Genomic DNA, 12,982 nt, shown 5'->3' on the forward strand with positions numbered 1-12,982 from the left:
GAGGAGCAGGCTGGTCCCACCACCTCTTCCCTCTCCCAGGAGGGGAGCTAGCACCACAGCCCCTACCATGACAGGAAGGCCAATGTTCCCCTCAGTGTTGGGCCATTGAAGGGGACCAGAGGACACATGTGGCTAGAATGAGTCACTGGTCCCTTCAGAGCAAGCAATGAGTTTTGGCTCTGAGGGGTCTACATCTTATCAATCCCCCAGCACATGCTGGGGACAAATACTCTCCTGGGAACTGTCCTTGAGGCAACCTTAGACAAGTTCTGTCTCTAGGTGAGGGTCGCAAAAGCCATGCTCTGAGGGGAAGCCAATTGGAAGCCGGTGACATTAACCCACACAAAGGACTGGTGTGCATCAAACAATGTCATCTCCCAGGAGGACACAGGACATCATAGCTTTTTTTCTTTGGACAGAATCGTGCTCTGTTGCCCAGGCTGGAGGGTAGCGGCGCAATCTTGGCTCACTGCAACCTCCACCTCTCAGGTTCAAGAGATTCTCTTGCCTCAGACTCCTGAGTAGCTGGGATTACAGGCATGCACCATGATGCCGGCTAATTTTTGTATCTTTAGTAGAGATGGGGTTTTTCACCTGTATCTTCTGTGCTGTTTTGTGGTAGTGAGAGCTCTCACAAGATCTAGTTGTTGAAAAGCATGTGGCAACTCTCCCCTCTCTCTCTTGTTCCTGCTCCAGCCATGTAAGATGTGCCTGCTTCCTTTTCCCCTTCTACCATGATTTTAAGCTCCCTGAGGCCTCTCCAGAAGCTGAGCAGAAGCCACTTTGCTATTTCCTGTACAGCCTATGGAACTGTGAGCCAATTAAACCCAGTTCCAGGTATTTATTTTTCTTTCTTTTTTCTTTTCTCTTTATTTTTTTTTTGAGATGGAGTATCATTCTGTCGCCCCAGGCTGGAGTGCAGTGGAGCAATCTTGGCTCACTGCAACCTCCGCCTCCTGGGTTCAAGCGATTCTCCTGTCTCAGCCTCCTGAGTAGCTGGCACACCACCATGCCCGGCTAATTTTAGTATTTTATTGTAGAGAGAGGGTTTCACCATATTGGTCAGGCTGGTCTTGAACTCCTGACCTTAGGTGATCCACCCACCTCGGCCTCCCAAAGTGCTGGGATTACAGGTGTGAGCCACCATGCCAGGCACCCAGGTATTTCTTTATAGCAGTGTGAGAATGGACTAATATACCTTGTTTTATGAAAGGGCTGTATCTGCGAAGGGATGCCCAACACAGAAGGAGTCAAGAAACCAAAGAATGAGACAGACAAATCCAGTTTGTCAGTAAAAGATAATTTATTGGGGGGAATTTGTGGACAGAAGTATGGTCTTGAGTGGTAGCAAGACAGGTAGTTCCCCAGGCTGTTACCCCCAAGATTTAGGGCTTATTAGTATAGGAAAAGGGCAAATATGCTGTGTAAGGAATGTGCAGGACAGTTAAGGTCAGCCTTCCAGAAAGAGAATGAGGTGGACGTCATAGCCTGTAATTTGTATGATGACATCTAGGTAGCTTTGACCTAAGGAGAAGATTTGCAGTAAGTATGTGCTCTTACACAAGAAACAGTAGATCAAGTAGAAATCTTAAGGGCATTCCCAGAACTGGGGTTAATTCAAAGTCAACATGGTGGATTCGCATCCAAGATGGAGCTGCTTTAGCCTCCACAGAGCTCCTTCCCCAGACCCGTGGAGCCCTTAGGGTTTAGAGGACCAGCGTAGAAATTCTCATCCAGGCAGTTTCTTCCTTTTGGTTCTCAAAAGGAATTGAATGTACACATCTGCTTATTATTCTCAAATAATTTCTTCTTTCACCTTATTATTTCTCAAATCTTTCCTTCTTTTCCCTCTCCACAGAAAAAGTTCCAGAAAATTTAAAAATCTTTTCAGAAAAGACAGTACACTGAGCAGGATTTGCATATCAAGGAAAAGTGGAGACGGGAGATGGGAGTCAAGTGTTTTGGGGGGTAGAGAAAAAGATTAGGCTGGAAAGGGTACTGGGCCAGGTGTAGGGGTGTGCACACGTGTGTGTGTGTGTGGTGTGTGCAACTTTCTCACTGAAGGTTTACTTGAAAAACTCCAGCCCTGTCTAGCCTGTATTAACGGAAAGAAGTGTGTTTGCCCATGGGCAGGTGGGGGTTTGGGGGCAGGAGACTCCAGTAATGGGATGTGGTGATGTCAGCTGGGCTGTTGGGCAGGTAGGATGAGCTGCAGAAGGAGCAGGGCTCTGGTTCCCATGCTCGTCCATCCTGCTGGCATGGAGCCACCTCCAGGCTGTGGGGTGGGTGTGGTAGGTGGGGCTTCCTTCCTTCCCCAAACTAGCCCAGCAATTCCCCAGGAAGCCAGACCTCTGCTACCGCTTCTTTCTGCACCTCTACAGGGAGAGTCTTCCTGTCTGCACCAAGGATGGGGACAGCAGAGGAATCTCACAGGCCAGGTGGGTCTCAATGGGTAAACGGGGGGTGAACATATATGTGTTTGCTGTGGCTCCCCACTCTGTCATTTGCAGACACTGCTAATCAGTCAGTCACAGGATTCTCACCCCAGTGCCCAGTGAGCACTACCAAAAGCTCCAGATGGTTTATAAGTATCTGGAGACTCTTGCATTCCCTGTGGATCTTTCCTGACCAGATCTCAGAATCTTCTCTGGAAATGAGGAAGCGGCGTGTCACCACCCAGCCTTAGGAAGACCCTGCCCTGTCAGTCAGAGATGGCATCTTGGGTGACCACTCGCTGAGTGGAGGAAGATAGGGTTCTGTGCAGGGAACTCCCTTGGTGGATCATGGGGTAAGTGATGCCTGTGGTCTGACATAAAGCCTGGTGTGTGGAGCAGAGATTCCAGTGGGGCTGGGACAAGCAGGTGCTGCTCAAGCAGGCCTCCAGATACACCTTGTCCCCCTCCCACCATAGCTGAGCCTGGATGGGAATGTGGACACCCCATAGACTCCAGAGGATGGGACCCTGGTCAGTGGTGGTCCTGGGGTGTGGGGTGAAGGCAGCTTGGACAGGGCCTCCAGGTGTGGGAGGAGCCAGCCTCTCCTGTGAGGCCCTGGGCACGTCGCTGCCTTCTTTGGGTCTCTGTTTCCTCATCTGGCAAATGATGAGCCGGTTGTGCAGGCCCGACAGGGTCATGATGGGGTTTGGGGAGGAAGGGAATTTGAGGGTGCTTGTGCCTGGCTTTTCCCACAAAGGATGATGGTGAAAGCAATGCTGAGAGCCACATGAAACCGAGTCCTCAGGAGGCCCTGTGAGGATGGCGTGGTTCCCATCACACTTCCCTTTTGAGAAAACAGTGTCAGGGAGGCCCTGTGAGGATGGTGTGGTTCCCATCACACTTCCCTTTTGAGAAAACAGTGTCAGGGAGGCCCTGTGAGGATGGTGTGGTTCCCATCACACTTCCCTTTTGAGAAAACAGTGTCAGGGAGGCCCGGCCGCCTGCCCAAGGTGACACAGGCAGTGAGTGTTGGAGCTGGGAGTGAATCTAGAACCAGGGCTCACTGGAGGTGGTGGGAGCATTGCAACAGCTGACTCAGGCCAGTTATCCAGGATCTGAGGTCAGGGGGGCTGACCCTGGCAGGTGGGGACCTCCAAATTGGCCATGCTGGAGATGAATCCCCAGACAGCCCAGATGAGGCTGTGGGAGCAGCAGGTGAGTGGATTTGTGGTGGGAGGGGCTCCAGGGAGTCGGAGGACAGGCTTCTTCCCCCTCAGCTGGAGGCCTCCACATTAAGAGAACAGGGCATCTTCCTCCCCCAGCCCTGCCCTCCTGTGGCCACAGGGCCTGAAATGCCTCCATTAGAGAGACCAGAGAAACTGCCTGGGCGAGCTGGCTCAGTGTAGATTTGGGGAACGATGGGACAGGGGACCCCATGACCTTATGACTTGTTAAAATCCCATCATAGAAGTAACTGGGGGTATCTCGTGGCCTTGGAGGCCAGCTGGGGAGATGGGGAGAGGAGGAGGAGGGCTGAAGGAGGCAGCTGAGGGTCCTGGGCTGTTCCAAGTGGGAGACCTGGGGAGGGGGTGTCCAGGCAGAAGTGGTTGGTGAGATTTCAGGGGGCAGGTCTTGGGTGGGCACCTGGCAATAGGAGCTCACCACCACGACCACCCCAATGGCCCAGGGGGATGTGCCCCCTCTGGGCAGGTTCCTCACTGACCTGGTGAAGCTGGACACTGCCATGAAGGACTGTGTGAATGGGAGTGAGCCTGGGGCAGGCAAGTCGGGTACCAGGATCCTGAGGCTTGGGAGAAGGTAATTCCCTCTTGTCACTGAAGCAGCTGCATTTTTGGAGTACTTTGATCTCCTGGAGCCAGAGGGAAGGACAGGAGGCTGACAGGGCCTGAGTGGAAGACACTGAAGGGCCCTTGGGGAGGGAGTAAACTGAGGCCAATCTCTAGGGCTTTTCTCTTAATGGGCCCCCTCTTCTCCAATCCCATGCAGTCCCACCCTTTTCTCAGAGTTGGATATAAACAGATAAACAGGCCCCCTAGGAATTTGTCCATGATTCCTGTCCCCTACCCACATCCTCCAATTGGGATGGGTCTCCTCCTCTGTGTATCAAACCCTCCCAATAAATCCAGGATGCAGAGGATGGAGCCAGGGAGTGCTCTACCCAGGGTAAGTGGGTGGGGGTCTCTGACTTCCACATCCCCACCCTCCCCAAAGTGAAGGCCCCAGCTGCTCCCCTTTTTTCCATTCTGGGTGTTGATCACATTTCCCTGGAAGACAGCCAGCCAAAGACCCTCAGAAAGGACCCTGGCCCATGACTTGCCCACATCCCCACACCCTCCCACGCTGCAAAAATGCAGCTGCTTCAGTGACAAGGGGGAATTACCTTCAGACTCAGGAGGAATATGGGGTTTGTTTCAAGTCCATGGAGTGGCACAGTCTGATTGAGAAGTGAGAGCTTAGCGGATTGACAGGAGAGGGAGTGGAGGCTGTCTTGTGGTCAGTTTCAGACAGCCTGTGGCCACGGCTCCCTGGTCGGCAGCAGGCCCTGTTGAATGGGAGCCCTGGGCAGGCACTGGGAGGGAGGCCTGAGGTGTGGCTCCTGGATCCTCACAGCTGCTGCTCTGTCCTACAGCTACAACCTGTCCTGCTGCTGAGCCCCATCCCAGTAGGCCAGCCACACTCTCAAGGCCAAGAAGACCAGGCCATGAAGAATCTCAGGTCCACTGAGTGCCTGGGTGGCAGGGGCAGAGTGCCTCAGGGTTCAGTGAAGTTTGGGCTGAGCATGGGCTCTGTGAGTCAGACAGCTAGCTGCACAGGGCTCCCAGTTCCACCGTGACCAGCCCTGTGACTGGGGCAGGGGACTCACTGCTGTAGTATTTGGGCATCATTTTCATAAATTTAATGTGTTCATCCAATGCTTTTTTTTTTAAATCTATCTTCCTCTATAATCACCATGTACTAATGATCTCTGTTAGTGATTGTGTTCAAATGAATAAACATGTTATATAGTGTGTATTATACTTCTTCATGATTTCGTCACTATACTGTATAATTCCACTCATACAAGGTACTTAGAGAAATACAAAGTAGAAGACTGGTTCCCAGGGCTACAGGAAGGTAGGTGCGGGGTTTAATGGGTACAGAGTTTGAGTTTTGCAAAAACACTCCCTATAAATGTGGAGGATGCTGGTAAAACAGTGTGAATGTACTTAATTCCTTTGACCGGCACACTTAAAAATTGTTAAAATGAAAAAAAAAAAAATGTTGGCCGGGCACAGTGGCTCACGCCTGTAATGCCAGCACTTTGGGAGGCGGAGGTGGGCGGATCACCTGAGGTCAGGAGTTTGAGATCAGCCTGGCCAACATGGTGAAGCCCCGTATCTACTAAAAGTACAAAAATTAGCCAGGCATGGTGGTGCATGCCTCTAATCCCGGCTACTTGGGAGGCTGAGGCAGGAGAATTGCTTGAACTCGGGACGTGGAGGTTGCAGTGAACCAAAACTGCACCACTGCAATTCAGCCTGAGCAACGGAGCAAGACTCCATAATGTTGTATAAAAGAAAGTAGATGTAAAAGTCGAGATCGCGCCACTACACTCCAGCCTGGGCGACAGAGCGAGACTCTGTCTCAAAAAAAAAAAAAGTATACATACTATATAATTTGATTTATAAAAAAATCCAATAAGCAGACAAAACTGAGGTCCTGGAGGCTGGAGGGGGGTTGGGGCTTCTCAGCGCCGATTCCGCGGGAAGGGCCCTGGGGCCTCACACTTAGTCCCGGGAGCTGCAGGTCTTACCTGGAGAGACGCTGCACGTGGATCCCGCGCCGCTGCGGTTCTCAGCCGGCTCTGGAGTGCGGGCGGAGGCGACAGGGCCGATTCTGGAGTGGGACTGAGCCTTTGAAATACTCCAGCCACGACTAAAAGAGAAGCAGAGGAGCTGATAGAAATTGAGATTGATGGAACAGAGAAAGCAGAGTGCACAGAAGAAAGCATTGTAGAACAAACCTACGCGCCAGCTGAATGTGTAAGCCAGGCCATAGACATCAATGAACCAATAGGCAATTTAAAGAAACTGCTAGAACCAAGACTACAGTGTTCTTTGGATGCTCATGAAATTTGTCTGCAAGATATCCACCTGGATCCAGAACGAAGTTTATTTGACCAAGGAGTAAAAACAGATGGAACTGTACAGCTTAGTGTACAGGTAATTTCTTATCAAGGAATTGAACCAAAGTTAAACATCCTTGAAATTGTTAAACCTGCGGACACTGTTGAGGTTGTTATTGATCCAGATGCCCACCATGCTGAATCAGAAGCACATCTTGTTGAAGAAGCTCAAGTGATAACTCTTGATGGCACAAAACACATCACAACCATTTCAGATGAAACTTCAGAACAAGTGACAAGATGGGCTGCTGCACTGGAAGGCTATAGGAAAGAACAAGAACGCCTTGGGATACCCTATGATCCCATACAGTGGTCCACAGACCAAGTCCTGCATTGGGTGGTTTGGGTAATGAAGGAATTCAGCATGACCGATATAGACCTCACCACACTCAACATTTCGGGGAGAGAATTATGTAGTCTCAACCAAGAAGATTTTTTTCAGCGGGTTCCTCAGGGAGAAATTCTCTGGAGTCATCTGGAACTTCTCCGAAAATATGTATTGGCAAGTCAAGAACAACAGATGAATGAAATAGTTACAATTGATCAACCTGTGCAAATTATTCCAGCATCAGTGCAATCTGCTACACCTACTACCATTAAAGTTATAAATAGTAGTGTGAAGGCAGCCAAAGTACAAAGAGCGCCGAGGATTTCAGAAGATAGAAGCTCACCTGGGAACAGAACAGGAAACAATGGCCAAATCCAACTATGACAGTTTTTGCTAGAACTTCTTACTGATAAGGACGCTCGAGACTGTATTTCTTGGGTTGGTGATAAAGGTGAATTTAAGCTAAATCAGCCTGAACTGGTTGCACAAAAATGGGGACAGCGTAAAAATAAGCCTACGATGAACTATGAGAAACTCAGTCGTGCATTAAGATATTATTATGATGGGGACATGATTTGTAAAGTTCAAGGCAAGAGATTTGTGTACAAGTTTGTCTGTGACTTGAAGACTCTTACTGGATACAGTGCAGCGGAGTTGAACCGTTTGGTCACAGAATGTGAACAGAAGAAACTTGCAAAGATGCAGCTCCATGGAATTGCCCAGCCAGTCACAGCAGTAGCTCTGGCTACTGCTTCTCTGCAAACGGAAAAGGATAATTGAGCCCCAGGACATTCGGGGACTCCAAAGTCTTTCTTAAAATGTTTAGAGCAAGTATAGCTCTTACCTTTATTACTGAATTTGAATCTTCTTTTATTTCTAGGCTGTACAGTCTGATGCATGATTTTTTTATAAATATTTCATACTCTTGTGAATTTGGATCTTTTTATTTTGAGCATATATTTTAGAATATGTGTGTGTTAAAGGATCTCCACAATGTCTGCGGTGTGAAGGCAGGTTCATTGTGGAATAGTTTGTCAACAGTCAGGAAAGCTAAACTGGTCAGTATTAATGTGTAGCCCTACCAAAAATAGCCAGTAGTATCTGAAAATAAAAAATAAATGAAGTATCTCTAGGAAACAGTCTGGCTTAACTATATTTGAAAATATAACTGTTTCCCCTCTCTGCTGCTTTAGATGTTGCTTTACATAGAACCAGAAAATGGAATTTCTCAGATAAAGCATGTGTGCCTGTTTCATCTAATCAAGCAGAGCTAAAATGTTCATACCAAATAAATTTATAATAATAAATTACTAAACTAAGAGTATCAGGTTATTTATATATTTGCAAGCAAAGGACAGTAAGAAGTTGGCTGGCAAAAGAGCAGTGCTGAAGGAGGAGATCCAGGTTTAAATCTGGCTTATTAACTCAAGCCAATTTTAAGGATTTTCTGTATAGATTATTCATGTCAGACCAAGAATTTAAATTATTTTGAGAGAGGCATTTAATTCTAATAAACCAGCTGTTACAAAAATTATAAAATGATCTCTGTTTTTCCTGTCAGAGATTTAAAAAACTGAAAAGGTATACCTCAACCCAAAAATAAAGGTTTGGTTTGGTTTGTTATGGCTTCCTTTTTAAAAAAATTACCCTGTAGTGCCAGTTTATTATGCAAAGCAGCTTATATTCCTTTGTTTCTGATAAAATGAAGACTTTAAATCAGTCAGCAGTACTTTACCTTTCAAGGCATTAGTAAATTACTTGCAAATAGTTTTAAAAGGAAAATTCGACCTCTGTTATAGGCAGTCTTCTCTTTAAGACAATACTTTTCCACTTATTTTTTTTCCTTTTCCATATTATATATGTGTATTCATATATCTATATACATATTCAGTTGATCATTTTATAAACATATATGAAGGCATGAAGATATACAGAAGAAAAATTATTAAACAACTCATTTTAAGATTCAAATTAAGTAATTCCTGCATATATGACATTCCTTACATAAGCGAACACTAAACAAAAATGGCTAGAAATGTCTTTTTCTTTCTTTTCTCTTTTTGTTGTTTGTTTTAAGGTATTAAGCACGAATTATTACATGAGACTGGCAGATAGCTATTAATCCTCTTACAGATTTGAGAAAGTTGATTCTCAAATATTTATGCACCTTTTCCTTCATTGTTTTCTTTAAATATGTCCCCTTAAAAAGCTTCTTAAGAGCTCAGTTAATGCTTTTGACTTAACTAGGAGAAAAAGACATGATAATACAGGCAAGATGGCATTGTTAGCAATTCTGGTAGTGGTTTGGAATGAATCCTAAGAGGCAGGTATCTTAAGGACAAGGAAGAGAAGAGAGAGAGGAGGAATCTTTGATCTCTTTCTCTGGTAATCTTAACGCATAATTTTACTACAACATGTTCTCAATTCATTTATATTATTATATTAAGCTCTTTCTGCAGTTGATATCTGGGCAGAGTAAGATTTGTATTTCCATTTTTACTTTTTTGAAAGAGAATATATGGACAGATTATTAGTACAATTTGGGCACTGTGGTTGTAAGAATATCTGAGTAAAATAACAATATGAAATAATAAACAGAAGCTCTAGCGTCAGGTAACAAATAGACAGCAAGAAAGGTTTTGCACCATCCTCTTACGGCCTAGGGAGTTGACAAGTTGCTTGTAGTTTTAAAAAAATAATAAAGTATACCCTTCTGGTGTATCATCAAGAGCTTAAGAATCTTGGCTTTCATATTTAAAATGCTTTTGGGGAGACATATATTAAAATTTTAGCCAAGATGATAGACATGTCTCAATTATATATGTGTGTGTATGTTTTTAAAGCTAGAAACATTACTTTTAGATTCCTAGAATGAAAACTTTTTTCTCATCTATGCAATTCCCATATGGTTTTTTTAAAATCATATTTTATTCATTTTCTCCCTTTAGCAATTTTCATTTTATTTCTCATAATTTGAACAGAGACAGTTCTCCTACATGATCAGATGCTTTTTTTTTCTTCTTGCCATCATTTATGCATGACATAGGTAAAGTAATATGACTAATTTCTCCAGTTGATTCAAGAAACTCATTACTTTGCCTCAAATTATATGTAAAATATTTGTTTTACTTAGGTTACAGTTATCAGAAAGCCAGGTAGTTTTTTTCTTCTATTAAAATATAACATTGTGAAAGAAAATAAAATTTATTCTATTCATTCTTTGCTTTGTTTTTATAAATGAATTTTTCATAGAATTTACAGTATATTCAAAGGAAGAAAGATAAAATTATTGGTCATCATTTGTACCTTAGAAGTACAAGAATTTAAGTAAAAGAAATGTTCATTTTTGTTTTAAAATTTGTTTTCCATGTGAAGTTTTTATTGAGCCAACTTTCATACATATCTCGCTAGCCTAAAGTCTAAATATTTGTGTTGGCATCAGAAAAACAAATTAGGCAGAATTGCTATGTGTGGTTGATCTTCAGGTAAATTGACTGATCACATTTATTTTTGTATCAGTCTATGTCATTTAATTAGGAAAAACTGTTTAGTTGTTTTCTCCCCTGATTAATGGTGATACTCAAGTATGATACAAAAAGAACTGTACCACCAAATATTTTTGTGAGGTCTGCTGTTTTCCATATTCATTTTATGCTACTGCCTTTAAGAAAGAACCAGTGTATCCTTGAAATAGCACAAAAATGTTTTAAAATTCATAATTGCAAAACAAATCTGTGACTAACTTAATGTCTTCAGATCTAAAGGGTGTAAAAATATTGATACTTCAATATTTCACTTGCTGCCAGGAAAAACAAAATTCTTAATCTTTTGTAATTGGGAGGAGGACTTTTGCATACATTTTTACTCTTTAAATAACGACAATGACACTTATACTGTCATAATAACAATTATGTATTTCTTTGTGGTTTTAATTTTTTTTGTAATTTTACATAAAAGTTATTTTCTATTTTTACGCAGATAAAAAATATTTGTGCATAAAATGTAAAAATAGTAAAATGAGAAAAATAAAACTATTATACAGTAAAAACAAAAAACAGAAAACAAAAAACAAAAAAAAACTGAGGTCCTGGCTTTCAGTAATACCGGATTAGCTTGTTGAATTAACACAGATTATAATGATGACACCTGCATAATATATTACCTATTGTTATAGAAACACAGCTGCATAATATAGATATGACCTATGTGTCAGTAAGAACTGAATGAGGTTTTCAGCTGTGCCCACTGCAGGGTAGACAGGTATTGAGGTTTGAATCCAGCCCAATTAACACCTTTTGTAAAAAATAACACCGCTGTTAAAGGTACACAACAGAAATGAGAGTCTATATAATGATTCTTTACAGTTTTAGTACACAACTTTAAAATTCATGATACGTGTGAAGAAACACAAAAATAGAATCCATACGCAATTTAAAAAGCAGGCAGTAGGAGTGATCCTAAGATATTTAAGATGTTGTAATTCAGGATGTTTAAAGGCAGCTATTATAAATCTGTTCATGGGGGTAAAGGAAAATATTCTAACAATGAAGAGATGTGGAACCTCAGCAAAGACATGGAAATTACGAAATAATAGGAAGATAAGGAAATTTGAAAAATACTTTTGAGCTTATTCAAAGATTAGAAACAGAAGACAGAGCAATAGAAGTTGTCCATTCTGAATAAAAGAGTGAAAAAGCTTTAAGAAAATGAAGTCTTAGAGACCTGTAGAGTGATTGAGTCCAAGTTGGACAGGGAACAGAAAAATTAAATGAGGTACAAAGTTAATCACCAACTAATGGCTGAAAACTTCCAAAAATTGGTCAACCACCCCCCCCCGCCCAAGTTTTATACCCAACATGTCAACAAACCCCTCCAAAAAATACAAATAAAACCCTACCAAGGCCATATTGTGATTTAGGAGACTGGCAGAGGAGAGCTTCCTGTTGACTTGCTGTGATTTCTAATTTTAACTACTTAGAAGAATAAAAAATAGGGTCTCCTTAGAGTTTCTTTTTTTTTTTTTCTTGGAGAAAGTCTGACTTAGGCACAGATGACTGACAGTTTTTAAAGGTAGATGAGTTTCCAGACTTCTCTTAAATTTCCAGTGTGTTAACGTTGAAAATTATTTGAACTTGTTGCTTCCAAATCCTGCAGTAATACTGATGCTCCAGAAAGGCGTCCCATGGAGATTCTGCTCTTGTGCATCCATCCTGCACGGAGCTGAGGCTGTGCCTCCTCTAGTTTCATTAGCGTGTAGTTGTGGGGTACTTCGAGTTAATCTGAAAAACTCAGTGTTAAAATGGATTCAGGCCGGGCGCAGTGGCTCACGCCTGCAATCCCAGCATTTTGGGTGGCCAAGGCGGGCAGATCACTTGAGTTCAGGAGTTCGAGACCAGCCTGGCCCACATGGTGAAACCCAATCTCTACTAAAAAATGCAAAAATTAGCCGGGCGTGGTGGCGGTTGTCTGTAATTTCATCTACTCGGGAGGCTGAGGCAGGAGAATCGCTTGAACCCGGGAAGTGGAGGTTGCAGTGAGCCCAGATCGAGTCACAGCATTCCAGCCTGGGCTACAAAGCAAGACTGCGTGTCAGAAAAAGAAAAGAAAAATGGATTCAAAGATTTATCACTGTTAAGTTCCACCAGCAAATTATTAAATGTGGTTCCAAAGGGATATTTAAAAAGGGAAATTAAAATTGTTTCCAAGAAAGCCCTATTCACAGCAGAAACGTAGACACTGTACCTGACCTCACCACACAAAGTTCCCTCATGTGTTGGGAGGGACCAAGGGGCTCTCTGGTCCTGCACCTGCGTTAATTATGGCCGGGAGGTCCGCAGTAGGACCCTAAGGGCTAGGAACCAGCCTGGGTCAGGGGCAGAGAAGTGGTGGATGTGGCTCCCAAAGTGGCTTAGGGGTTCCCTTCCCTGTGGCTGTTTCCTGACTGGATGCAGCAGGGTCAGGCCTTTCAGTGTGACGTTTTCTACTCTTTATTAGAGTGGCAGGAGCGTCCCTGTGCGAGGCCTGACCCAGGTG

At 43.8% G+C, this 12,982-nt stretch overlaps 1 long non-coding RNA gene and 1 pseudogene across 1 annotated transcript; one reads left to right on the top strand and one right to left on the bottom strand.

The window, feature by feature from the left end:
• Positions 1 to 1,284: 1,284 nt before the first annotated feature.
• Positions 1,285 to 4,435, bottom strand: LOC124901654 (uncharacterized). The gene is made up of 2 exons (XR_007060343.1): positions 4,159 to 4,435; positions 1,285 to 1,524 (listed from the first exon to the last, which is right to left on the bottom strand). It is a non-coding gene; the product is annotated as an uncharacterized LOC124901654 (long non-coding RNA).
• GABPAP (GABPA pseudogene) lies at positions 6,334 to 10,993 on the top strand (annotated as a pseudogene).

Source organism: Homo sapiens, chromosome 7 (assembly GCF_000001405.40).
Source record: "Homo sapiens chromosome 7, GRCh38.p14 Primary Assembly".
NCBI lineage: Eukaryota > Metazoa > Chordata > Mammalia > Primates > Hominidae > Homo > Homo sapiens.